Here is a 27,234-nt window from a genome sequence, read left to right on the forward strand (position 1 = left end):
CCTCCTGCCTTGGCCTCCCAAAGTGCTATGATTATAGGCATGAGCCACCACACCCGACTATTTTTCATTTACATAGACTGGGGAGAAAGGAAAAAAAAAAACACTGTTGCAGAGCAACCAAAATAAATGCAGTATGTTTATACCATTTATAGTCACTTTTGTTAGTTAAGGGTAAAATATGTTACACACTGTAGCTTGGATTCCTTATGAAATTATCATTTTTTTCCTCCAATCTCTCTAATTTGCCCATACCCTATTTCTTCTAGTCTAATCAGTTTTACTTACACTAACCTCCAGCCAGTTTGCCTAATTGACCTTTGTTTCTGAGCTATCCACATAATTTCTGCTTCTTCAGAAATATGTTTAGATGATTCTCTTCTAAAGCATCTGATCACTTTGTAATTGCTGAAAACTTATCTTAAATATTTTATTCATTATTTTGAATTTTTCCAAAAGATAAAATTGACCTGAAGATTTTAAAAAGTCTTCTCTTGTTTGTTTGTTTGTTTTGTTTTGTTTTTCTTTCCTCTACCTCCCTCAGAGCTTACAGTTCTATTTTTGAGTAGCAAAAGTTGCAAATAGGTTTTTGAGAAATGATTGGATTTAACTGCAGATTTTCATAAGAAAATGACTAGTCATAAGATAGCAGTGGACTACATGGTGTCATTTGAAAGTTATCTCGCAAAAATCTTCACCAACCCTGCTTTATGACCCCAAATGCCTGCTATGTAAGAGTATAGCCTTTTAAGTAGAAGCTTTGGATTTTCTGTTAAAATGAAACCATCTATGGAAGGGATAATATCTCATTTCTCTGCTCAAAATCATCCATTCATTCCCCACTGGCTACCAAATAAATTCCAAGTTCTTCAATTTGTCATTCAAAGCTCTCAGAGATGTGCCAACTCTGCCTTCTCAGCATCGTCCCATTAACCTCCTTCAGAAATGCACTACCACTGTTCACTGCAGGCCCATGTTCTGAGCATGCCCAGTACATTCCTTCCTCTAGGGCTTTGCTTCTAATGTGCTCAGCATGCCTGCCCTCTCTATTTACCCATGTGTGCTCATCAATATCCTTCCTCCAGCACTTGGTCTGCAGCACTTCAATTCTTGATTATAATTATATGTGTGTGTGTGATTGCGTGCATGTATGTGTATAATTATACATATATATCTGTGTGTATACATATATATACATATATACACATATATGTATATATATACACATATATATACATATGTGTGTGTATATACATATATACATATATACATATATATACATATATACATACATATGTGTGTATATATACATATATACACATATATATGTGTGTATATATACATATATACACATATATATGTGTGTATATATACATATACATACATATATATGTGTGTATATATACATATATACACATATATATGTGTGTATATATATACATATATATATGATTTTAATCTCCCTGATTTAGTCTTCTTTAGTCTGATAAAGATCTTCTTCACTTTAACATGACAGAACCCCCAATTTATTCATTTACTCGATAAATATTTATTTAGTGCCTATCATGTCCCAGGTTCTAGAAATTGGGATGCCACAGTGAAAAACGCAGAACAGACAGACCATTCAAGTTGAATTAAGCAAAAACAGGAGAGGGGAAATGTATTGGCTCATGTCACTGGAAAACTAAACTTGGTCAGTCACAAAGATCTAGGGATGTCATTAGAAATTAATCTCACTCTCTCAAAATATTTATCTTAATTCTGCTTTTCTTGGGTATGCTTTGTTCTCGGCAAAATTTCTTCACAGCGTGACAGAAATGGCCACTGGCAGCAGTGTGCTTCCATCATCCTAGAGCCAATAATGCCTAAGAAAAGAGAGTGCTGCTTTCCCAGGGAAAGGGCATCTCAGGGATCTGCTAAGGGTAAGTGGAGCCAGGGATATTGACTTTGAGCTTTTCTATGTATCTATTGGTCACTTTTATGTATATTAAGTCATTTCTGCCATCCTGGTGTAGGGATGGCTTCCAGGAACACTGCTGTCACCCACTGTGCTGACTCGTTCAGCTTTACAACACAAAGATGAAAGGTCAGAGTTCATATCATGACATGAAAATGAGCAGCACTGGAAGCATGTGTGTAGCAGAGGAGAAATGAAGTTTGAAGCCTACAGAGTCAGAAGCTAGTCTATGGAAAATTCTTCCAATCACATGTATATACAATTCCTAGCAGATAATTTGGTATCATTAATGTCTAGTCAAAATGTACACTCCCTATCACAGTGCACACAATTATAAAAGTAGCACAGTACTTCCTTCCCCTTCTATGATGGAGATCGGCAAAATCAAACGTATCAGAATTGCTGTGTTTTAGGACATAGAGCTGTAGCACCACAGGTTCTGTGTATGAAGCTCTGTGCTTTACATAACTTGGGACGTATTATATCTTAGCATATCTGATTCCTCTTGTCCTGAGGAAGAAGGTAGTTCCAGAGGAAATTTTGCAAAGTTGCCAAAAAAAAGGAAAAATAATAAGTGTCCTGAAGAAACAAGTGTTTTTTTTTTTTTCCACATATGTAGTCATTGAGAAGTCAATGAATGTTGTAAAAGAGTAATTTGGTCACCTAATTGTATTTGTTATCCATTGCTGCCTCACAGATTGCACTGCATGAGTTTCTTGGGGCTGCCATAGCAAATTACCAAAAAAAAAAAAAAAAAAAAAAAACTGGGTGACTCAGAATAACAGAAAATTATTATCTCTCAATTCTGGAGACCAGAAGCCTGCAACCAAGGTGTCAGCCTGCCATGCTCCCTCCTGAGGACTCTGGAGAAAAATCTCTCCTTGGCTCTTTCCCTGTGCCTGGTGGCTCTTTCTATGCACCTCTTGGCTCTTTCTATGCGTCTGGTGGCTCCCAGCAGTCCTCGGGGTTACTTGGCTTGCAGCTGCATCCCTCCCATCTCCACCTCTGTCATCCTGTGGCCTTCTTGCCTGCATCTCTATGTGTCCTCTCTGTTTATAAAGATGCCAGTCAGGCCGGGCGTGGTGGCTCACACCTGTAATCCCAGCACTTTGGGAGTCTGAGGCGGGTGGATCACGAGGTCAGGAGATTGAGACCACCCTGGCTAACACGGTGAAACCCCGTCTCTACTAAAAAATAGAAAAAAATTAGCCGGGCTTGGTTGCGGGCGCCTGTAGTCCCAGCTACTTGGGAGGCTGAGGCAGGAGAATGATGTGAACCCAGGAGGCGGAGCTTGCAGTGAGCCCAGATCGCGCCACTGCACTCCAGCCTGGGTGACAGAGTGAGACTCGGTCTCAAAAATAAATAAATAAATAAAAATAAAAATAAATAAATAAATAAATAAAGATGCCAGTCACTGGATTAAGAACTCAGCCTACTCCAATATGGCCTCATCTTAACTAATTACATCTTCAAAAAATCTGTTTCCAAATAAGGTCACATTTTGATGTTCTGGGTTGGGGGGGACATTATTCAACCAATTATATACCCCCAAACTTGGCATCTTAAAATAAAAAAGTGTTATTTCATATCACAATTTCTGAGGAATCCAGGAATGGCTTAGCAGGATGGTTCTGGCTCAGAGTCTCCCAAAATTACAGTCCAGCCATCAGTGAGGGCTGCAGTCATCTCAAGGCTCAACTAGGGCTGGAGAATCGGCTTCCAAGCTCACACATGAAGTTGCTGGCTGGCTGGGATCCTCTCTGGCTGTTGGCGTGAGGCCTCAGCTCCTTACTACATGGGCCTGGCTCCACAGGCTGGGAAGTTTCTCTATGACACAGAAGCTGGCTTCTCCCAGAGCAGTGATTTAAGAGAGAGAAACAGAAAGAGAGAGAGAACAAACTAGCAAAAATGGAAGAGAGTGCTTAAGACAGAAATTGCAATCTTATTAAATCTAATCTGGAAAATGATGTGTTACTTGTGCTGTATGCTGCTGTTGGTCCCACAGACCAACTCAAGAACAACATAGGAGGAGACTATGCAAGGGTCTAAAACCAGGAAGCCCAGGTCCTTGGGGGTCATCTTGGAGGCTGCCTACTGCAAAAATAATGCAGCTCAATACATCATGGCAGCAATTTTTTAAGTGTATATAAATTGTTCCTTTGTATGCCTTAATTCCAGATTAAACTGTATTTTACTTAGAATCAGTGATGACTCTAATTTTAAAAGTATTGTTAAAAGAAAAACTTTAAATAAGTTAACAGAGTTTAATTGAGCAAGGAGTAATTTGAAAATCGGGCAGCCCCCAAAACGAGAATAGGTTCAGAGCAGCTCCAAGACTGCCACGTGGTTGGATAATGTGATAGTTAATACTGAGTGTCAACTTGATTGGATTGAAGTATGCAAAATATTGATCTTGGGTGTGTCTGTGAGGGTGTCGGCAAAGGAGATTAACGTTTGAGTCAGTGGGCTGGGAAAAGCAGACCCACCCTCAATCTGGGTGGGCACCATAGAATCAGCTGCCAGTGTGGCCAGAATATAAATAGAAAGCAGGCAGAAAAACCTGAAAAGGCTAGACTGGATATATATATATATATATATATATATATATATATATATATATATATCCTATTATTTCTGTCCCTCTAGAGAACCCTGACTAATACAGATAACATTCAAGGACAGAAAAAGGAAAAAGGACAGAAAAAAGAAGACACAGTGAGGTATAGAAACAACTGGGCCTTTGCCTTATTTGAACATGGGTGGGACAATTGACCATCTGTGATTGGCTGACTCAGCTACTTGTTATACGAGTAGGTTACAGCCTGTTTACACATCCAGTTAGGTTGCAGTTCACTATGCACAGAAAAGCTTTTAGGTCAAACTTAAAAATATGTAAGGAGGAGGCTTTAGACTAAATTTTTTATTTTTTGTTTATTTTATTTTATATTTTTTGAGACGGAGTATTGCTCTGTCACCCAGGCTGGAGTGCAGTGGTGCCATCTCGGCCCACTGCAACCTCTGCCTCCTGGGTTCAAGAGATTCTCCTGCCTCAGCCTTCCGAGTAGCTGGGATTACAGGCGCCTGCCACCACACCTGGCTAATTTTTGTATTTTTAGAAGAGACGGGGTTTCACCATGTTGGTCAGACTGGTCTCGAACTCCTGACCTCAGGTGATCAACCCGCCTCGGCCTCCCAAAGTGCTGGGATTACAGGCATGAGCCACCGCGCCCGGCCTAGGCTAAACTTAATTTAACAATTTTGAGAGGTTGACCAAAGCTTTAGGCATTGATATCATTCTGTCACTGTTGTAAGTGGACATATCTGGTCTCAAATCCCACTGGAAAATAGCCTAACAGTGAGTTTTATAAGGTGGGAATAAGGAAAATGAAAAATAGAGGGAAAGGCTGATGGGTTAACATCAGGTTACTTCAGGTTACCTTTTTGTAAAGGTTAAAGCTGAGGGGGTTTCCTTATTATGCTGGAATCTCCTGTTTTGAGGAGAAAGAAAATGGTCTGTTTTGGGATCTACTGGCTTCCTTAAAGTTTCAGTTTGATTACCACATGCCATGTAGCAAGAGGGACTCCATTTTGGTTTTTCTGATCTGTTAGAGCCTAGTACACAAGTTTAGTCCAAAACAATGCCCCCCAACCCTGATAATTTTAATATTATAGAAGTTGCCATGAAGTTACTTGTTAAAACAGACCCCTAAATATAACAGATGCTCACAATACTCCCTGCGGGACTGCTGCCAACTTCCTGTGGACTCAGACTGGATGTGTCTTAATGTTTCTGCATACACTTCTTAGACCAACAAGAGCATCTGAACCTTTCCCACACTTTCAAAATTAGCAAAGCCAGCTGGCCATCCAGCAGGATCCTGAGAAAGAACACACGAGATGGGGACATGGGGACAGGAATGAGGATGAGTGATGGGCCAGAAATCCAAGAGTCACTTCCTATGAGGAGCCATAAGAGGTGCTGGGTAGTCCCTGAATCCTAGGAGTGGGGACAAGGACTTACAAATGAAACTTGGTGCTACAAGCCACCATTTCATGTCTTAGTTTGTAAGGCTGGTATTTTTGGTATTCAAGAAGTGATGTGTTTCCTGCTAGATTCTGTCTGGAATTCGGTGGGCTCAGCCACACAGCAGTGTCTGACGTCACGGCGTGTGATTCAATCAGCCAGGCTTCCCCTAGTTACAGGCAAACGAAAGATATATTAATTGGGCCTAAATAAACAAAGCATCACCCCATTAAAGTCACAAAATGTTAATGTTAAACAATTTATGAGTAACATTTGCACACATTTTAAAGGGTGCAGTATAGAGAAGATAGTTAATAAATGATGAACACTTAGGCACAAGTAAAGCAGCTGTCTCAGCTTCCACAACTGCTATTAGCACTGCTTAAATTGCCTCTGGATCTTTAACATCTGGGCCCAGTACTTCTACTCAGTGGCTTCTCAGCGGCTTGCAGTTTGCAGTTCTTAGTTAATTGCAGTAAACTGGCACTGATTGCTTTTGGGAAAGAATTTCATTTGTGCCTATGTGATGCTAATCTCAAAAAAAAAAAAAAAACTTCAGGTTTCCAAAACTTCCATGTTTTAAAGAAAACTGCTTTGATATTTACTAAGCTTTTCTCTGTAGAATGTTTTCAAGTATCCTCTAAGGGGCCCTGGTTAACCCTCTTTCCTCTAGGAGTAGAGATAGGTCTATGCAGTGCCCCCCAGTCTCAATCTCCATGCTCTGATAAGATGCCATGCCACGGCCAGGTGCGGTGGCTCACGCCTGTAATCCCAGTACTTTGGGAGGCCGAGGTAGGCAAATCATCTGATGTCGGGAGTTGGAGACCAGCCTGACCAACATGAAGAAACTCTATCTTTACTGAAAATACAAAATTAGCCGAGCATGGTGGTGCATGCCTATAATCCCAGCTGCTCAGAAGTCAGAGGCAGGAGAATCGCTTGAACCCGAGAGGCAGAGGTTGTGGTGAGCCAAGATCACACCATTGCACTCCAGCCTGGGTAACAAAAGCGAGACTCTGTCTCAAAAAAAAAAAAAGATGCCACTCTACTGTAATTTCTGTGCCACCACAGTTCTCCCAAGGAAACTAGAAAGTAATGCACTACTTAATGAAACTAGAATGTTGCAGCCATCTTCATGAATAGCCTTACAAAGTGAGAAGGAAAACCCATGATGGAAGCTAGCCACAACAGCCTGTGCATTGCAGCAGGTCCCTTGTCTCAAAGGGCCCTGTAGCCATTACAGGCATGAGGTGTTTGATATAGACTTTTTTTTATCATGGACCTTCCTGGCTGCAGCAGGCTTCTTCACCTTCTGGGGCCATGTACACCCGCCACAGGTTGGAACAGTGAGAGATGAATAACTTTTCAGCTCCTCCCTCTCTCATTCCAACATTCCCCATCCCATTCCAGTAACTGATGATAAGAACTTTTAGTGGTTGCTTCCCACAAGTCAGGAACTCCACCTAAGCATTTTCTAGGTATATCTCATATAAGAAATCATACCATGGTTAAGATCATGGACTCAAGTCAGACCACCTGGCTTCAAATCCTGCACTACCACTTACTAGCCATGTGACCTTGGACAAATAACTTAACCTCTCTGTACCTTAGCTCTTCATCTGTAGAATGAGCTAATAATAGCCAGACCTCATGGGACTGTTGGGAGAATTAAATGAGTTAATCTAGAAAGAACATGTAGAACAGTGCCTGGCTCATAATAAGTATAATTTAAGTATTGGCTAATAATATGTCTGGAATGAAGACAATTTATGATGAATTTTGTTTTTTATGATTTGGAGTTTTTCTCTTCGTGACATTTCAAGGGAGTAAAATTGACATTCTGCTCTTTAATCATTTGCATAAAATGTGAAGAATTTGGAAAAATAGAACCTTTTCTTGAACAACTCATAACCTAAATGGAATTAGATAACTAAAAGCCGTTCCGAAAGGTTACTTTGCTTAATATTGTGCATTTTCGAACACCAAATAATTCTATAAAGATTAGAATTATGTCATCTATTCTGTATTTTTCTACTTTTTATTATAATTAATTTAATGTTATAAATATTTTAGGCTCTAAAGTATAGAGTTTTTTCTAAAGTAATCTACCCAGTGTGTTCTCTCATTATGCATATTAATCTGCATTCTTTCCCTATTTATTATTCAAAAGTTCATAGTAATTTTATATATAAAATGAATAGTTTCACAATCATGTTAATTATTGCAGGATTTTACTCTTCAATAACAAATGTACATTTACACTTCATTTGACTGACACATTTAACTGAATAAAACACACAAAGGGATTTTTTAATTCCAAGTTACATCTAGAATAAAACTTACCTATATTTGAATAGCCTAATATTTTGATACTCCAATATCTACAACAAATCCAAATAGCACAATATGTTCATTTTACAGAAATTGTTACACTGATATTTGGTGGTGGTAAACTAAATAATTACAAAATCACTGCTCACACCAACATTCAAAATGTCAGAAATGACATTGAAGCAGGCATTAATCTATCTGGGCTTCCAAAGACTAAACCTGAACCAAAGCTGAATAGCATATTCTGGCTAAACATAAAAGCAAAGCCAAGCTTCAGTGCATTCCTAAGAAAATAGAACAATATGCAACCATGAAGGATGTGGTCTAAAAAATAAAGATACCAAAAAATGCTCCTGATAGCGTCAGAGTACATAAGAAGACAAGATATTTAATTATATAAATATGATTCAAATCATTTCAATATGAACCTTTCGATTCTAAAGACCCACTCTAGCTAGCACAAGTAAACAGAAGTTTAGCATAATGATAAACATTGAGCAATATGGATAATGTCAATGAAATCCAAGAGCAGAAACTTCATGGAGCTGAAAAGGAGGAAGAAAAAGTAGAGGAAGAGTAAGTGTGCTAAAATCCTCACCTAAATGATGGGATTAAGAGGCAAGGTCCAAATTTGATGGACCCAAAAAAAGAGAAAATTTAATAGTATTCTTTAAAGATTCAACAAAGAAAATCAACAGAAGAACTAACAATAATTGCATTAAGAATTAGAAGGGGAAGTGGACAAGATTAGTGCAATACTCATATTTGATAGGAGAGAATCAACAGATAATAACCTAAAGTAATCAGTCAAAAATTAGAAGGACAAGTTTACTATTTAGAAATAGAAAGGTAACTATCAAAACCCTAAAAACATTATCACTTAAAGATGGTTGTCTCTGCTAATGCATGCTGGGCTTAATACCTAGGTAATGGGTTGACAGGTGCAGCAAACCACCATGACACACATTTACCTGTGTCACAAACCTGCACATCCTGTACATGTACCCCATCCTGTACATGTAAACAATACAATAAAATAAAAAAGATGGTTGCCTCTGGCAAGTGGAAATGGGGTAAGGCAGGACAACCTGCTTCTTTTACGAGGCTTTCTGCATAATCCTTTTTAAAATTCAAGTTTCATGAATTAGCTGGATTAAAAAATTTTAATGAAATGGTTGATTGTATTAGAGATATTCTTTTCTTAGGATATGTATGTCTGAATGGATGGTAAAAATGCTGGCTTGTGAGTAACTTCAACTCTCTTCACCCCAGAACACCTCGGGATGAGTGGGGATGGTCTGGACTGGTGAATTCTAATGGGCGTCTTCCACATTCCTAGAATCAGAGGGCAGCTCTTCTGCCCATATTTATCCAATATAGATATCTCTTTCACTAGTGATGTTAACACTGATTATTGGCAAAAGTGGGAAACTTCCATTTTTATTTAAAAATCATCCTTTCTCCAAAGACAGTACAGTGAAATCATTTCTCATTTACATTTAGTAACTCCCTTAGTCACATAATAAGTCAGAATTCTATGAAAATGTGCGTTGTTCTGTAAATGTGAATGACTTTAAAAAACAAAGCATTATTAAAAAATATAGGGTCCTTCCTTGCTACCTAAGTGAACCCTGATGAAGGTATATTAATATACTGATAAGTAATTTTTGCACATTAAAAATCTTATATAGATTTAATACCATTTTCAGCTTTTGTTTAATGAATATTTAATTCAGAAAGCTATGAAATAATAGGTAATTATAGCTCTACAAGAACACATATTGACATGTAGTTTAAAAGACTCTGAAAGGTGCCTTGTGCTTGCAGTGAGTTTATAATTTAAACACAAAGAAAAATTTTAAGGTTGCCAATCAAATATTCCTCAGAAGAAAGAACGAACGGAGGATCCCACTTCCTTAGGGCACATATGCAAAGGAGATACTAAAAATAACATAGGCCACGCTTGGCAGACCATGTTTAGGCAAAATTCCAAACACATCTAAAAAAGGCTGGTGAAGAAAAAAGTTTCCCTAACTTCAGGCATATAAGGGTCAGGTTTAGAAAAGATGATGGGGATAATAAGCAAAGGGCCTTAGAGGTAGGAGCAAATGGCAAGTCCAAGAAGTTTGAAATTCACTTCCCCAACCTTCCTTTTCATATCTTTTTCTTAATTTGAGCAGTCTTCCAATATCTTCAACCCTGACTCCACCAAGGAGCCCTGACTCCCTTCTGCTATCCATAAGACACTCATTCACTCTAACTTGAAGGGACTTAGTACATTATCTCTCCTAGGGAGATTTATACTTCCAAGAAGGATCAGTTGAGTAAAACAACACTTTAGCCCATGCAATGCAGTAGTAAATTTTAAAACATGCACACCCTATCGCACTAGGAGGCAATCACCTTTTCTAGCAGAGTTTGGCTGGGTTTAAAACAAAAAAAAAAATTTGGCCGGGGTCAGTGGCTCATGCCTGTAATCCCAGTACTTTGGGAGGCCAAAGTGGGCAGATTGCCTGAGCTCCGGAGTTCGAGACCAGCCTGGCTAACATGGCGAAACCACATCTCTACTAAAAATACAAAAAATGGCCGGGCACAGTGGCAGGTGCCTGTAATCCCAACTACTTGGAAGCCAGAGGCCGAAGAATTGCTTGATCCCGGGAGACGGGGGTTGCAGTGAGCCAAGATCCCGCCACTGCACCCCAGCCTGGGTGACAAGAGCGAGACTGCATCTCAAAAAAAAAAAAAAAAATTTAGAGTCCTTCCAGCAATTTGCACTCTACCTTGCAGAAAAAGTCCCTAGACCAGTAGATCTCAATTTTTTACATGCTTAAGAATGTTGTGGAACACTACAACTGACCAGTCTCATTCCCGGAAATTCTGAGATTCTGATTCAGCTCCAGAAAACTGTATTTTTAACCGGCACTGTAAACAATTCTGATATAACCCATCTCCTGGCCCACATTTGAAAATCACTGCATGGCACTGAAAGACTAAAGGGTTAGAGAAATCTTCACTTCTCCCTGCTGCAGAGAGATCCACCAGTGGCAGATTTCTAAAGAAAAGAGTTTATCTGACCTGCATTCTATCTTCCTGTTCTCACCTATAACTTGCCCCTAAAAACTCTCAGGATCTTTAATAGCCGTTTTATTCCCAAGCATAGGCACTAATTGGATCCCCACGTGGCAACACTTTCCAACGTTCAGCAAAGCATCTGCAGTTGCTGGAGAATCTAGATAGAAATGTAGCCCAATAATCCTGCACCTTTAGCCCTCACAAACTTAGCTATGAAAAGTGACTTGGCTTCACGCTGTTACTTCTAATTTCTCCAGTGTGCTGCTTGTTGGTTGACTGCAATTGGCAGTTGGATTATATCCTATTTCTTGCTTACCTGATACAGTAAAATAATTCTCCTTTACCTGTTCCCAAGACTTTTGTCACCCATCTATGCCCATCCTATCCCAAGGAAATAGAGTAAGCCCACCAATTATAACGAAAACATTTCCTTAGAGCTAGAAAAGATGAAAAAGTCTTCTTCTAGTTCAAGATTCTTGAAATCACTGCTGAAAAAATCCTCAATCTACTTTTTTCTCAAAAGCCCATCCCAACTAATATCACATTACTTGGTCTCAACATTACAAAAAGCACAAACACACACACAGAAACTGCATCCCAATTCTCAACAATGAGAGGCCATTTAGGTGGTTTAGAATGTTCTCTCCATTAATGGACTACGATTTAAATGAAAACACAAAATTTAGAAATCCTCAGAGTACTTGAGAATGTGCTTGGACTTCAGGGTCCTACAGATCACAGTTTGAAAAACAGCAGTATAATAGATTTCTCATCACTGCCACTTATTACTTAGGTGACCTTGTTAGTGGCAGCTAATCTCTCCAAGCCTTGGTTCCAACTAAAGCAGATTGCTGAACAAAAGGCTGCCAGTATTAGTACAGTATGAATGATAGATCACAGTGGGAGAGACTGAGGCTGGAAGACCTGTGGGAAAGTTACTGCAATGACCTGGGTATGAGCCAGGAAGTGTTGGGACTAGGACTAGGTTATTAGCAGTAGGAGTAAAAAGGGATAGATACTGACGACTTTAGAAAGAACCAACATTGGTGACTGACTGGGTGTTTTCCCAGACTACACTTCCAGGATGTTAACTGGTGTTCTGTGAAAACTATTAATTTCATCTTCAAAAAAATTTGGGGAATTTTGCTATAATGTCAGCAGAACAAGCGCTCTCTCTCTTTCTCTCTCTCTCTCATTCCCTCTGTCTCGCTCTCTCTCTCATACACACACACACACACACACACACACACACCCACTGTAGCAGTACTAGGTTGCGCTTAATGCTCTGAATCCTTTTCTAGGCTGCTACATTTCCAGTTCCTCAAACAGAACTTGTCCAACAGTAAGTCTAAATAAATATTTGTTAAATGAATAAATGAGCAAGGAGCAAATAAGGAAACAACTAGATGGTAGAATTTTAGGAGCTTGAAAAAGACTCATACCATTCATTCCAAATTCTTTCTCCTGCTAGCCAATGTTAACATTTCATCAATAGAATTTAAATCCTTTGGCCACAATGTCTCAGGAGAGGATATGGCTTCAACAAAGGGGTTCTCAGACCTACTTGAGGGGCAGAAAACTTAAGTGTAATAGTGACCATTATGAAGCATCTGAGCCAGAAACAATTTTATTATCAGAAACTGAATGTTATGTATTATGTTGGTACTGATTGACAAAAAAGGGCATGCTATAGAAGGACAAAGAAAAGCTAATTGAGTAGAAGCTCCTGGAGGATTCTTTGAAGATAAAAGCAAGATGACAGCCACAGTGAAAAAGAATCAAGAGTCCTTCACCCTGGCAACTTTGAAGATGATTTCTTGTGGCACATGCCTCAGGTAGAGTCCAGGCTAGCCAGCCAAATGGTATTATGGCTTTCCAGAAATCACAAAGCAAAGCCATCACAGCTTAATGCAACCAAGTTAAATGGTCACTGTAGGAACTTAAAAGACCGTATATTGTTCCTAATGTAAGGAACATAGAGGAAACCTGAATACAGAAGCAAGTGCATCTCATGGTTTCGCAGTCTGCTCTGAAAAAGGATTTAAATGGCAAAGACTGTGAGTGAAGCGAATGGATTTCACAACAGAGGATACTCAGATATTCAAATGCTGTGTTCATAGGCAGTAACTCAGTGTCTGGTACATGTGTTATAGTTTTTTCTGTTAATTAAATCAACACAATTTTGCAGCAAGATTATTTGTCCTGTGTTTTCAATATTCAAGTGTGTTAAATAAGAAATGATATGCCGTGCTCAATATCCCAGGAAGTTAATTATCTGGGAGAATTCATGAAGGATTGTAGAGATTATGATGCTACATTTTAAGTATCCATCTGCTATATGTTTACTGGTTGACTGCTAGAATGTAGCTGACAAGGAGCATCGGGTATCAAGTGACTTATGAAATTTTGACAGAGTGGGACAAATAAAGCCTGCAGGTAGGAGCTAAGCTAGGGCTGGAATTTGGGACCAGTCACAAGCTTAGGCCAGGATAGGGCTGGAACAATGCCTTGGAGTGACTCTCACTCATATCTCAAATCTGCTGCCACACTGGAACACCAGGGGGTGGGGACAGCCTGAGGATTGAGGAAGCAAAGCAGATAGAGCTAAGAATGATGTCAAGGACCAGCCAAGGTCCAAGGAAAGAAGGAGAGTAATGAAAGGAGACACAGGCAGACCCAATTCCATCCAGTGTTCATCTACACTGTCCAATAAAATTAGGAATAGAAACAGGCACAACACTGACAGACTAACAGAGGTCCCTGAAGCCAATAGTATTCTGTTTAATGGCATAGTCAAAAGAAAACACACAGCCCTAGATACCAAGTTATTTATTTATTTATTTATTTATTTATTTATTTATTTATTTTTATTATGATTATAATTTTTTGAGATGGAGTCTCGCTTAGTTGCTCAGGCTGGGGTGCAGTGGCATGATCTCGGCTCGCTGCAACCTCCGCCTCCCACAGTCAAGCAATTCTCCTGCCTCAGCCTCCCGAGTAGCTGGGATTACAGGCGCCTGCCACCATGCCCGGCTAATTTTTGTATTTTTAGTAGAGACAGGGTTTCACCATGTTGACCAGGCTGGTCTCGAACTCCTGGCCTCAGGCAATCCGCCCGCCTCAGCCTCCCAAAGTGCTGGGATCACAGGCATGAGCCACCGTGCCTGGCCCCAAGTTATTTATTTTGATGTCAGATTTGGATAAACAAAAAGCAGGTCAGTCACAGTGTGATCTGATTCTCTATGGCCATGCGGGTTTTAATTGACTGGAAGCTAAAGAACTCAATTATAATGATAAGAATTATGATTTTGAATGCATAGTGCATAGTAGCAGCAGAAAGTAGCTTTACAAGAAAACATCCCACCAGAAAAGATGGTCATACTTGCCAAGTTAAAAAGATTAGAAGATTCTCATCAATAAGCTACAGAAAAAATAACCGAAAGAATCAAGACGGTTGTAAACTTCTTTTCAAGATCTTGATACTTCTATGTCCTTCTTTGACTTTGTAGTTGATCCCAATACTTTTTCATGCATTTTTTATGTTGTCTCATTATAAGGTATGGTTTTGTAAAAATAAGGCTTGACCAAGACAATCTTCCTGTAATAGAATCTACTAATATTAACAAAGGAGGTGAGGGAATTGACCTAAATACCCAAGTTAGGAACCAAGGAGTTATAATTTTGTGTTTTAGCACTGGGAGGATGTTGGGAGGTTCAGAGCCTATAATCACTTAGTGTCCAGTCAATAGAAGGTCAGCAATTACTGCAAGTTGAACTCAGTATTTTCTAAGGCGATGCTGATCATAGAAATATAATGTGGGCCACATACATAATTTTAATTTTCCAGTATCCACATTAAAACAGGTAAAAAGAGACAGGTGAAATTAATTTTTATCATATATTTTAGCACAATATAACCAAGATATTATTATTCCAACATACAACCAGTACTTGAAAGTATTAATAATATATTTTACATTCTCTTTTTTTAATACTACGTTTTTGAAATTCAATGTGTAATTTACACTGACAACATGTCTCTCTTCAGGCTAACCCCATTTTAAGTGCTCAGTAGTGCCTTGAGGCGAATGGCTACTATACTGGGCAGTGCAGTCCTAAGAGCTCAAATGAATAGTGAATTTTTTTTAAAAGCACTTATTTAATGTATTGTCTGCTGAATAAAATTTTCAAGAACATCAAACATTTTAATGCATCTTATTAAATTGGTTATAGAGTATTATAATCAACGATAACTAAGGAAAAGTCACTGCCATTTTTTTAAAGAAAATTTAACATTAGGAAAACTGAAAACTAAAAATAAAGATAAACGGGGTTAAAGATATCCATTAGTTAACTTTTGTGGTAGAATGCTCTGTCCAACAGAATTTGAAGACCAATGCTTTGAATAACGTAGGTCATTTACAGCTCCAAAAAAAATGAAAGCCCTGAGAGCTAGATCTGATGAGATCAGGGTGGGACAGAAGGAAGCAGGAAAGAGTTGGAGATAGAAGGGAAGATAAGCAGGGCGCTATGGCAGTAACAAAGAGAGGGCCCTGGTGGAAGCAGGGACAACACAGGGCTTCACCTTCATTTCATTTTTGCCAAGAACCAGTCCTGTTATTGAATAAGTCTGTGCCTCTACACAGCCTGATTGCACCAGTTTGTGATTATATTTTGCTCTGGCCCTTTCTTTTCTATATTCACAAGAGATGTATCTGAAGGCATGGCTCATTTTCTCTGTCTGACCAGCTTCATGATTGATCCTGATCAGCAGGGTCTTCCCCTCACAGAGACACAGGCAATAACCTTACTAACCTGGGCAGGGCCTTTCTGCCCCCAAATATCTCCTCCACTTTCTATCATGACACCTGAAGGCCACAGAGTGCCTTCCTTTGGGTTAGGACAATGTTTCTCAAACTTCAACCATTTGATTATGTCTGTCATTGTTTTTGCCATGTCTGTGTACCACCTATACCATTGCTTACTTAATATCATTTTTCAAATTAACTCCTTTTTCTTTTTTACAACAATACATTGATTAAAGAAACTCTATATCATCACCAGGCAGTAAAACCAATGTGACTTGCCATAAATAGGAAGTTACCCTGAAGATAAAACCACTATTAAAATATTAAATGGTCATGCTTGTACCACCTTAAACCATTTTGCCTCCACCAGTGGTACAATTACCACTAATTAGGAAATACTGGATTAAGGAACTGTCCCCAAAAAGCAATTGCTAAAACATGACTGTCAGAGAGCAGATGTGTAGCATTCACAAATACTAGTTAGCTATGAACTTTTCTTGAGTGGGGAATAGTGTTTAGGTCAGATTTTTTTTATCTTTATTTTGCATAGGAATCACGTGGGAAGCTTATTTAAAATATAGGTTTCTGGGTCCCACACTAGATTTAGTAGATTTAGTAGAATTGGGTTAGGCCTGGATATCTGCATTTTTACCAAATTTTTGGGGTGATTAGAATTTGGTGGGTTAGCAAAGCCCACTTCAAGAAACCCTGGGACATAAAACCACAAGCCAGTATGAGATATGGAAACCTATGTCATGGATGTTAGCCCTGGGATAGCAGTAGGAGTCCAACATAGAGGAGAGGGAAGGGCATGCCCTTGAGTAATCCCCTACCATGCAGTGTGCGCTGGACCTAGCAACTTGCTTCAAACATACAGAACACAGAAGTGATGGGATGCTGCATCAGAGAATAGGTTCTAAAACTGACCTCCACCTTGCTCACTCTTTCCCGCTCTGCTCTTCTTGCTTGCTCACTTGGATGAACCAGCTGCCATGCTGTGACATGTCCATATAGAGAGGCCCATGTGGCAAGGGACTAAGGGCAGTATATTATTTCCTGCAGCTGCTATCACAAATTACCACAAAGTTGGTGGCTTAAAACAACAGAAATCTGTTTTCTCAGTCCTGGAGGCCAGAAGTCAGAAATCAATTTCACCGGGCCCAAAATCAAGGCATTGGCAGGGCTTTGCTTCCCTTGGTAGCTCTAGGAAGAATCTATTCTTGCCTCTTCCAGCTTCAGGTGGCTACCAGCATCCTTTGGCTTGTGGCTGCATCACTCCAGGCTCTGCCTCTGTTGGTGGCATTGCATTCCTCTTTGGTGTCTAATCTCCCTCTGCCTCTCTCTTATAAGAACACTTCTGATGGCATTAAAGGGACCACCCAGATAATCCAGAATAATCTCATCTCCTAAATCTTAATCTCATAGGTAAAAAAAAAAAATTAACTATATAATAAATTTTATGTGTATTTGACCATAAGGAAATAAATTTTTTTAACTTTGCCATATGATGTGGTTTGGCTGTGTCCCCACCGAAATCTCATCTCGAACTGTAGCTCCCATAACCCCATGTGTCGTGGGAGGGACCCAATAGGAGGTAGTTGAATCATGGGGGCAGGTTTTTCCCAGGCTGTTCTCATGATAGCAAATAAGTCTTACGAGATCTGATGGTTTTATAAAGGGCAGTTCCCCTCCACACACTCTCTTGCCTGCTGCATGTAAGACGTGCTTTTGCTCCTTCTTTACCTTCCACCATGATTGTGAGGCCTCCCCAGACATGTGGAACTATGAGTCCATCAAATCTCTCTTTTATTTATAAATTATCCAGTCTCAGGTATGTCTTTATTAGCAGCATGAGAACAGACTAATAAACCATACAAGATAACATTCACAGATCCAGAGAATAGGCCCTCTTATCTTTGGGGGCGACCATTCAACCCCCTACAGGCAGCTACCAGCCAACAACTAGGGAGGATCTGAGGACCTCAGTTCACCAGCATGTGAGAAACTGAGGCCTACCAACAACCACACGAGTGAATTTGGAAGCAGTTGAACTTGGAAGCAGGCTTGAGATGACTGCAACCCAATTGAAGCCCTGATTGCAGCCTTGTGAGAAACCTTGACCCAGAGAATCCAGTAAAGCCATTCCCAGATTATTGGCCCACAGAAACTATTTTTAAAAATTGCTTTTTAAAGCAACTAAATGTTGTGATAATTTGTTACACAGTAACAAATAACTAACAGTTGCTTTGCTCAAGACTCATAAAATGCTAATTCATTATATATTCATTATGTTGTATTCACATCTAAGATAAAAATTAGAGCCAAAACTGTTGCATATAATGGACGGAGGCCACTTGATATTATAACAAGAGCACAAGCTATTCATTAGAAAAAGCAACCTTGAACAGTTGTTTAACTTCTCTGAGCCTTTGTTTCCATTTGTGTTAGATGAAGATAATGATACTTTTCCAGGTGTATTATGGATAATACTTTATGACATATGTGAAGCATTTAGTTCAGTATCTGGCATCAAATGACCAATAAATAGTAGCCTATATAATTTTCATGTACCTCAAGAAAATATATATTTTAAAATAGCATTAAATATATTTTAGGCTTATCATTTTAGATTTTTAAATGAAATTAGAGTTGACCTTTGAGAGGTCAATTATTTGGTGTTATTTTAAACAAATGAAAATGATCTAACAATGGACTTTTTCATCTTTATGGGCCATGCCAGGTATACTCTGGGTACCCTTTATGGCCAATCCTGTAATTAATATGAAGTATGGAGTCAGAACATGAGGGAATAAAAAAGGCAAAACAAAATTATTTTAGCTACAGTCAGTGAAACATCTATTGACAGAGAGAGGGGATACAATCACTGAACAAGAGCAAACCAATAAAGACCTTGAAACCAAGTATGCATCTGGGAAGCAGTCCAGAGATTGACTGCAGGTCCATTTAGGGGTTAGGGCAGGGTGAAGAGGCTGAATCATGTGGAGAGCTGGGGAGGCAGTTTCAGAAACATCTTGCAGGGCAAGAGGATGAAGGTCGATGGTAAGGACATTGAAAGATGCGGAAGCTAGAGGACTAAAGAGACAATCTCTCTTTCATACAAGGTTAGATCTGTAGTTGTATCTCTGAATTTGATAAGCACTTAACTTCTGATCTCTCCTCACCCCTGAAATAAAGAATCTTATTGGATCCTCTCCCAGGTATCTTCTAGCTGACATTTATGGCTTCTTTCCATTTAAAAGTGGAATATTCCCCCACAAGTGTGCTGGGAAAGTCTCAGCTTTCAGATGAACAATGAAATATGCTGGATACAGTCAGCTGCTACTTGGCTTCACCTTCTGCTCTTTCTCTAGTGTCAGTACTTACTCCTCATCTAGGAAGAGAATCAGTGCTTAACGTGAGAGAAAAAGAACCCAAAAGATGGCTTTCTGAGGGGCTTCGCACAGCCTGATAAGACAATGTATTTTCTCCCCAACGCTGTCATCTGGGGAAACACTGTCATCCCCAACAGTGTCACTGGGGCCCCGACCTTGAGTACTGACGTGGGGGAACTGATGTTCTTTCAATGGGGTTTTTAAAGGCACACCAGCAGTCACAGGCATACACACAGTTTCTGGCATTTATGAAGAATTGGGGTTTCTTTTAAGAGGAAAAAAAAGAATAAACCAAATTGTTCATTCCTTTTCTAAAGTATTGTATATTGGCTTTGTATTTGAGGACTGCCTTGTTATCTTCATGTTTTCAGGCCTCCCCCTGTCCCATAGCCTAGGGGGAATCGCCATGGCCCTGATTTGTGTATGTAGACAGTGCTGTTTCCATTCCTCTTGGCCTTGACCTCTGCCTCTTCACACCTCCTCCCACTCACCCAGCCAGCGGGCAGCCCACCCAGAAGCCCTTGCGCCAGCAGTTACCTGGCAACAGCGACAATCACGCTAACAGGCAGCAACACAGCAGCAGAGACCAGAGAGCTCTGAGTCTTCCAGAATCTAAGCAGGGAAGGGAAGGGGGGCAAACGGCTGTTTTTATCAATGGCTTTTCGTCCCTACCCATACTGTTTTCCTGTCTCACACATTCCATGCTCCAGCTCCCAACACCCAACCCCCAACCCCCAATTTCTATCATCGCCTGGGTGAAACTAGCCTCCAATCCAGAGTTTAATAACAGCCACAGAGATTCATATGGAATTGTGTACTTGGGGAGACCCAATAATCATCCCCCTTAATTCCAATGCAGAATGCTCAGGAGTTAATCAATCCTAGTTTCCATCTGTGCACATGTTGTGTTGCAGTCCAAGGATGTACTTGACCACCCAACTGGCCTGCTGTAATAGAGACCTAAGTGCTGTGTACTCAGAAACATTGACAAGCTATTATCTTACTTCTTGCCTCCCTGGCCACAATTCTACAGTAAGTGCTACCAGAGAGTGGGGCATAAGCATACCAGTTAGTAATAGCTAATATTTACTGATACTTATTCTGTTCTAGGCTCTGTGCTGAGCACTATACAGACACATCTAACTTTCAAAACAGCCATATGAGATAAATAATATTACTATCTCCATTTTACCAATGAGCAAAACTGAGGCATCAAAGGTCGTACATCTATTAAGAGCAGGGTCAGAATTTGAACTCATTTCAGGATTTGAACTCATGTTGTTTTTTTTGTTTGTTTGTTTTTTTTTTTTTTTTTTTTTTTTTATTGATCATTCTTGGGTGTTTCTCGCAGAGGGGGATTTGGCAGAGTCACAGGACAATAGTGGAGGGAAGGTCAGCAGATAAACAAGTGAACAAAGGTCTCTGGTTTTCCTAGGCAGAGGACCCTGCGGCCTTCCGCAGTGTTTGTGTCCCTGGGTACTTGAGATTAGGGAGTGGTGATGACTCTTAAGGAGCATGCTGCCTTCAAGCATCTGTTTAACAAAGCACATCTTGCACCACCCTTAATCCATTCAACCCTGAGTGGATACAGCACATGTTTCAGAGAGCACAGGGTTGGGGGTAAGGTCACCTATCAACAGGATCCCAAGGCAGAAGAATTCTTCTTAGTACAGAACAAAATGAAAAGTCTCCCATGTCTACCTCTTTCTACACAGACACGGCAACCATCCGATTTCTCAATCTTTTCCCCACCTTTCCCCCCTTTCTATTCTACAAAACCGCCATTGTCATCATGGCCCGTTCTCAATGAGCTGTTGGGTACACCTCCCAGACGGGGTGGTGGCCGGGCAGAGGGGCTCCTCACTTCCCAGTAGGCGCGGCCGGGCAGAGGCGCCCCTCACCTCCCGGACGGGGCGGCTGGCCGGGTGGGGGGCTGACCCCCCCACCTCCCTCCTGGACGGGGCGGCTGGCCGGGCAGAGGGGCTCCTCACTTCCCAGTAGGCGCGGCCGGGCAGAAGCTCCCCTCACCTCCCGGACGGGGCGGCTGGCCGGGTGGGGGGCTGACCCCCCACCTCCCTCCCGGACGGGGCGGCTGGCCGGGCGGGGGGGCTGAACCCCCCACCTCCCTCCCGGACGGGGCGGCTGGCCGGGCGGGGGGCTGACCCCCCCACCTCCCTCCCGGACAGGGCGGCTGGCCGGGCAGAGGCGCCCCTCACTTCCGGGACCGGGCGGCTGGCCGGGCGGGGGGCTGACCCCGCCACCTCCCTCCCGGACGGGGCGGCTGGCCGGGCAGAGGGGCTCCTCACTTCCCAGTAGGGGCGGCCGGGCAGAGGCGCCCCTCACCTCCCAGACGGGGCGGCTGGCTGGGCGGGGGGCTGACCCCCCCACCTCCCTCCCGGACGGGGCGGCTGGCCGGGCAGAGGGGCTCCTCACTTCCCAGTAGGGGCGGCCGGGCAGAGGCGCCCCTCACCTCCCGGACAGGGCGGCTGGCTGGGCGGGGGGCTGACCCCCCCACCTCCCTCCCGGACGGGGCGGCTGGCCGCGCAGAGGGGCTCCTCACTTCCCAGTAGGGGCGGCCGGGCAGAGGCGCCCCTCACCTCCCGGACGGGGCGGCTGGCCGGGCGGGGGGCTGACCCCCCCACCTCCCTCCCGGAGGAGGTGGCTGCCGGGCGGAGACGCTCCTCACTTCCCAGACGGGGTGGCTGCTGGGCGGAGGGGCTCCTCACTTCTCAGACGGGGCGGTTGCCAGGCAGAGGGTCTCCTCACTTCTCAGACGGGGCGTCCGGGCAGAGACGCTCCTCACATCCCGGACGGGGCGGCAGGGCAGAGGTGCTCCCCACATCCCAGACAGGGCGGCGGGGCAGAGGTGCTCCCCACATCTCAGACGATGGGCGGCCGGGCAGAGACGCTCCTCACTTCCCAGATGTGATGGCGGCCGGGAAGAGGCGCTCCTCACTTCCTAGATGGGATGGCGGCCGGGCAGAGATGCTCCTCACTTTCCAGACTGGGCAGCCAGGCAGAGGGGCTCCTCACATCCCAGACGATGGGTGGCCAGGCGGAGACGCTCCTCACTTCCCAGACGGGGTGGCGGCCGGGCAGAGGCTGCAATCTCGGCACTTTGGGAGGCCAAGGCAGGCGGCTGGGAGGTGGAGGTTGTAGCGAGCCGAGATCACGCCACTGCACTCCAGCCTGGGCACCATTGAGCACTGAGTGAACGAGACTCCGTCTGCAATCTCGGCACCTCGGGAGGCCGAGGCTGGCGGATCACTCGCGGTTAGGAGCTGGAGACCAGCCCGGCCAACACAGCGAATCCCCGTCACCACCAAAAAAATACGAAAACCAGTCAGGCGTGGTGGCGCGCGCCTGCAATCGCAGGCACTCGGCAAGCTGAGGCAGGAGAATCAGGCAGGGAGGTTGCAGTGAGCCGAGATGGCAGCAGTACCGTCCAGCTTTGGCTCGGCATCAGAGGGAGACCGTGGAAAGAGAGGGAGAGGGAGAGGGACAGGGACAGGGACAGGGACAGGGAGAGGGAGAGGGACTCATGTTTTTAACTACTTTTTTATGTAGTTAAAAGCTGAAAGATGGTAGGATTTGCTAAGAAGGAACCTGAATGGTAAGGCAGAGATGAAAATTATCAAACTGTAACAATCAGGGGACACAATTAATTACATAAAGTCGCTTAATGGAATATGCTAAGGAAAACTTATTCCTCAATTAAAGTGGCATTGTGCAATAACAGAGACTGATCAACCTCTTTCAGCAGAATCCTGGAAAACTATGTAAACACCCACAGGCCTTGGAAGATGTTAGTGTCAATCTACTGGGAAGATGACCCCTGAAGACCCTGTAATCCTCATCATTCTGTGATTCAAAGGGAAAAGCAATATGGCCATGTGAGTCAGTACAAAGAGCATGGGATTTGGAATGAGAAGACCTGAACTTCAGTCCTGGCTTGGCTATCCACTCACTTTGTGACCTCAAAGAAGTTGAATGAACATGTATTGAGCCTATGTCTTGCAGCAAGTACTGACTTAGGATTTGAGGAAATAAGATCACCAGACTTGGGACATGTCCTGAAGTGGGTCATTGACTCATGGAGCACCGAGAATTGTAGACAATTTCCTCACATTTTCCTTATATATAGACCAAGCAAACTAACAGCAACTTCTTAGAGTTGTGAGCATCAAACAAGATAGAGGTTGTGAAAAGGACTTGGGGACTATATGTCACGCAAAGTTAGTGGTAATTATTAATGCTAAGACTGAACTCATAATAACTCATAGATATTATCATGGTCATCACCTACATGATATGATCCCTACTGACCCTTCCAGCATCATTTCCCACTAGCTCTCTGTCCTTCTTGGTTGAACAGACCAAAATATTCCTGTCTCAGGGTCTTTGCATTGCCTGAAATGCATTTACCCCAGTTATCTGCACAGTTAATTCTTTCATTTTATTCACACTTTTACTCAAAAGTTATATTCCCCATGGAGGGCCTCTCTGTTCACCATATCTAAAATAGAAAACATGTGTATACACACACAATGCACACACATACACATGCATACAACACACATGCATATAGACATGCTACATACACATACCCACACACATATACACACAAGACACATGTGCATATATGTATGCACATACTCTCTAGTTCCTTATCCTGCTTTATTTTTCTTCAGAGTACTACCTCTTCCTGAAACTATGTTTTTATATGCTTGTTCACATGTTTGTTATCTGACTCTCCACTGTAAGTTCTGTGAGGGCAGAGACTTTGGCTTGTTCAACATCGTATTTCCAGTCCCAGAACAACTCCTGACTCATAATGTACACTCAATAATTATTGAAATATAATTCATATACCATACAATTCACCTATTTAAAGTATAAAATCCAATGTTGTTTGTTTGTTTTTTGAGACAGGGTCTTACTCTCTCATCCAAGCTGACATCCCTGCAGTCACTGCTGCTTTAACTTCCTGGGCTCGAGAGTAGCTGGGACACAGGTGCACATCACCACATCTGGCTAACTAAAAAAAAAAAAATTGTGGAGATGGGGTCCCACTATGTTGCCCAGGCTGGTGTTGAACTCCTTGGCTCAAGCAATCCTCTCAGTGCCTCCACCTCCCAAAGTGTTGGGATTACAGGTGTAAGCCACCATACCCAGCCCAATTCATTGTTTTTTAAGACACAGTCATGTGCCACATAATAAAGTTTCAGTCAACATTAGACTGCATATAAGATGGTGGTCCCATAAGTTTATAATGGAGCAGAAAAATCCCTATTGCCTAGTGACATAGCCATTGTAACGTTGTAGTAACGTATTACCTTTTCTATGTTTAGTTGTGTGTAGAGACAAAAATACCACTGTGTTACAATTGCCTTCGTTATTCAGTACAGTAACGTGCTATACAGGTTTGTTGCCTAGGTGTGTAGTTGGCTATACTAAATTTGGGTAAGTACACAACTTTTTGTTGTTTCACACGAGAACGAAATCACCTACTGATGCATTTCTCAGAATATATTGCTGTCATTAAACTATGCATGTCTGTATTTACAGTGTTGTCCAAACATGATCACAATTTTAGAACACTTTCATCACCCCAGAAAGAAACCCATACCTGTGAGTGCCACTCTCTATTATCCCCTTAAGCCACCCTACCACCCCCGACCCTTGCCTTAGGCAATTATGAGTCTACTTTCTGTCTCTATAGATTTGTCTATTCTGGACACTTCACATACATGAAATTATACATATATGGTCTTTTTGAAATTAAATTTTGACTAATGAACAAATTACTAAATCCAATTCTTTGCCACACCCTCTAGATATAAATAGTTCTTCAGAAAGCTTCCTTTCAAGAATTTTGAGCAATCTAACATTCAATCTGCAAGACAGAGAATTGGTCTGACCAAAATACAACAAAAATCTCACTTATTTATGTTGTGTTTTATTTTTTAATTGTGACATTTTGACAGAAGTCGAACATAAGCTTCCCTTTGCCCTAGAAACAGGAATAAAAGAGAAAGAGTTGACAGAATAAACACATAAAATGAAATTCTGAAGGGCCTATTTATTTACTCATGAGAACCAACTGTTTTCAAACATTCTGAATTGGAAATGATTTAATTCTAATCTAAGCAAAGGCCAGCAAGCCTGGTACTCTGATATGTTGATTACAAATCATTCTCTATTCTTTAAAGCAGAACCTTGATCGGGCAACTTTGGTAGATGTAATTCCACGCATCCAAGGACTTGAAAGTAATAAAATGGACTTTTATTATTTACAATCATTTCATAATTGACTTCACCAACCAGACTGGCTCTCCCTTTCAATTATTTTAAATCAGTGAGATTCTACTGCATAAATACACTCTTCTCCAACAATCATTGTTAAACCATTTGTCATATTTGATTCACATAAAGCCAAATGATATTAAGTGTATAAGTTAAACCACGAACTAAGTTCTTAGAATTGGAATGGAACTTTAGGGCACTGAGCATAATCTCTTACCCAAACTGAAATCCCTGCCATAGCTTCCTAGCTTGAAATATCCCAGTGATTTTTCCCACATGTACATCACTTTCTCCCTATCCTGACCATCTTTACTTGAGACAGCCTCCACCATCATTCCCAACAACTTTAATGTTCAAATATTCATCCTTCTAATAAATTCCTCAAGTATCCTAAAGATTTTTCCCACATGTACATCACTTTCTCCCTATCCTGACCTTCTTTTAGTCCAAGTTCTGCCCTCTAGGGTAAAGAAGAGGATACCTGTTTATTCCTATTTGGGGCAAGTGAGTCCCTCAAATATCTGAAGACCTCTTCCCTGCCTAGAAATTCTTCCCTGGGCTAAAAAGCCCCCAGGCCATCTTACAACTTGGTTTTCAGACCCCCTCTCCAAAATACTGCCACCCCAGGTACCACCTTTCTGATCATCCACCAATCCGCTGCTATCCTTCAGTACAAATCTGCAAAATAGGCATTTAACTAAGAACTTTTCTAATGTGTTTCCAATAAAAAAGAGACCATATATGGCTAGAATTAATTGTTAAAATAACTTCTTAGATGCAAACACAATATATATGATGATGTCAAGAGTATATAAATGAAAACTTCCAGGTGGGGTGCAGTGGCTCACTCCTGTAATCCCAACACTTTGGGAGGCCAAGGCAGACAGATCACTTAAGTCCAGGAGTTCAAGACCACCCTGGCCAACATGATGAAACCCTGTCTCTACTAAAAATACAAAAATTAGCTGGGCAGGGTGGCTTATGCCTGTAATCCCAACTACATAAGTATCACTTGAACTCAAAAGGCAGAGGTTGCAGTGAGTGGAGATCGCGCCACTGCACTCCAGCCTGGGCAATAGAGTAAGACTCTGTCAAAAAAAGAAAGAAAGAAAGAAGGAGGAAAGAAAGAAAGAAGGAAGGAAGGAAAGAAAGAGAGAGAGAGAGAAAGGGAGGGAGGGAGGAAGGAAGGAAATTTCCCAACTTAGGACATCTGTAGGCTTTTCACATTCATTTGTCATCAAGGACTGCTTCGAGTTAAAATGAACAGATCCCATTTAAACAAAAGACAATGTCTTCTTTAAAGATAGGAAATGCATCAGATGCTCTGACCTGCATCTCCTATCTTTT

The 27,234-nt window shown here is 41.7% G+C and overlaps 1 protein-coding gene and 1 pseudogene across 2 annotated transcripts in view, besides 1 other annotated feature; one reads left to right on the forward strand and one right to left on the reverse strand.

Moving 5' to 3' along the window:
- RGS8 (regulator of G protein signaling 8) overlaps window positions 1–27,234 on the reverse strand; it is a 110,559-nt gene that overhangs the window by 77,852 nt on the left and 5,473 nt on the right. The window lies entirely within an intron of this gene.
- LOC100421471 (NSE4A component of SMC5/6 complex pseudogene) lies at window positions 14,560–15,082 on the forward strand (annotated as a pseudogene).
- Window positions 22,691–23,304: an enhancer, noted in NCBI's record as "H3K27ac-H3K4me1 hESC enhancer chr1:182711495-182712108 (GRCh37/hg19 assembly coordinates)". NCBI's record gives its function as "activates a minimal SCP1, AML or CMV promoter by ChIP-STARR-seq in naive H9 embryonic stem cells {active_cell/tissue: H9 hESC(naive)}" and the evidence as "EXISTENCE:reporter gene assay evidence [ECO:0000049][PMID:30033119]".

The sequence above is a fragment of the Homo sapiens genome, chromosome 1, assembly GCF_000001405.40.
Source record: "Homo sapiens chromosome 1, GRCh38.p14 Primary Assembly".
Lineage (NCBI taxonomy): Eukaryota > Metazoa > Chordata > Mammalia > Primates > Hominidae > Homo > Homo sapiens.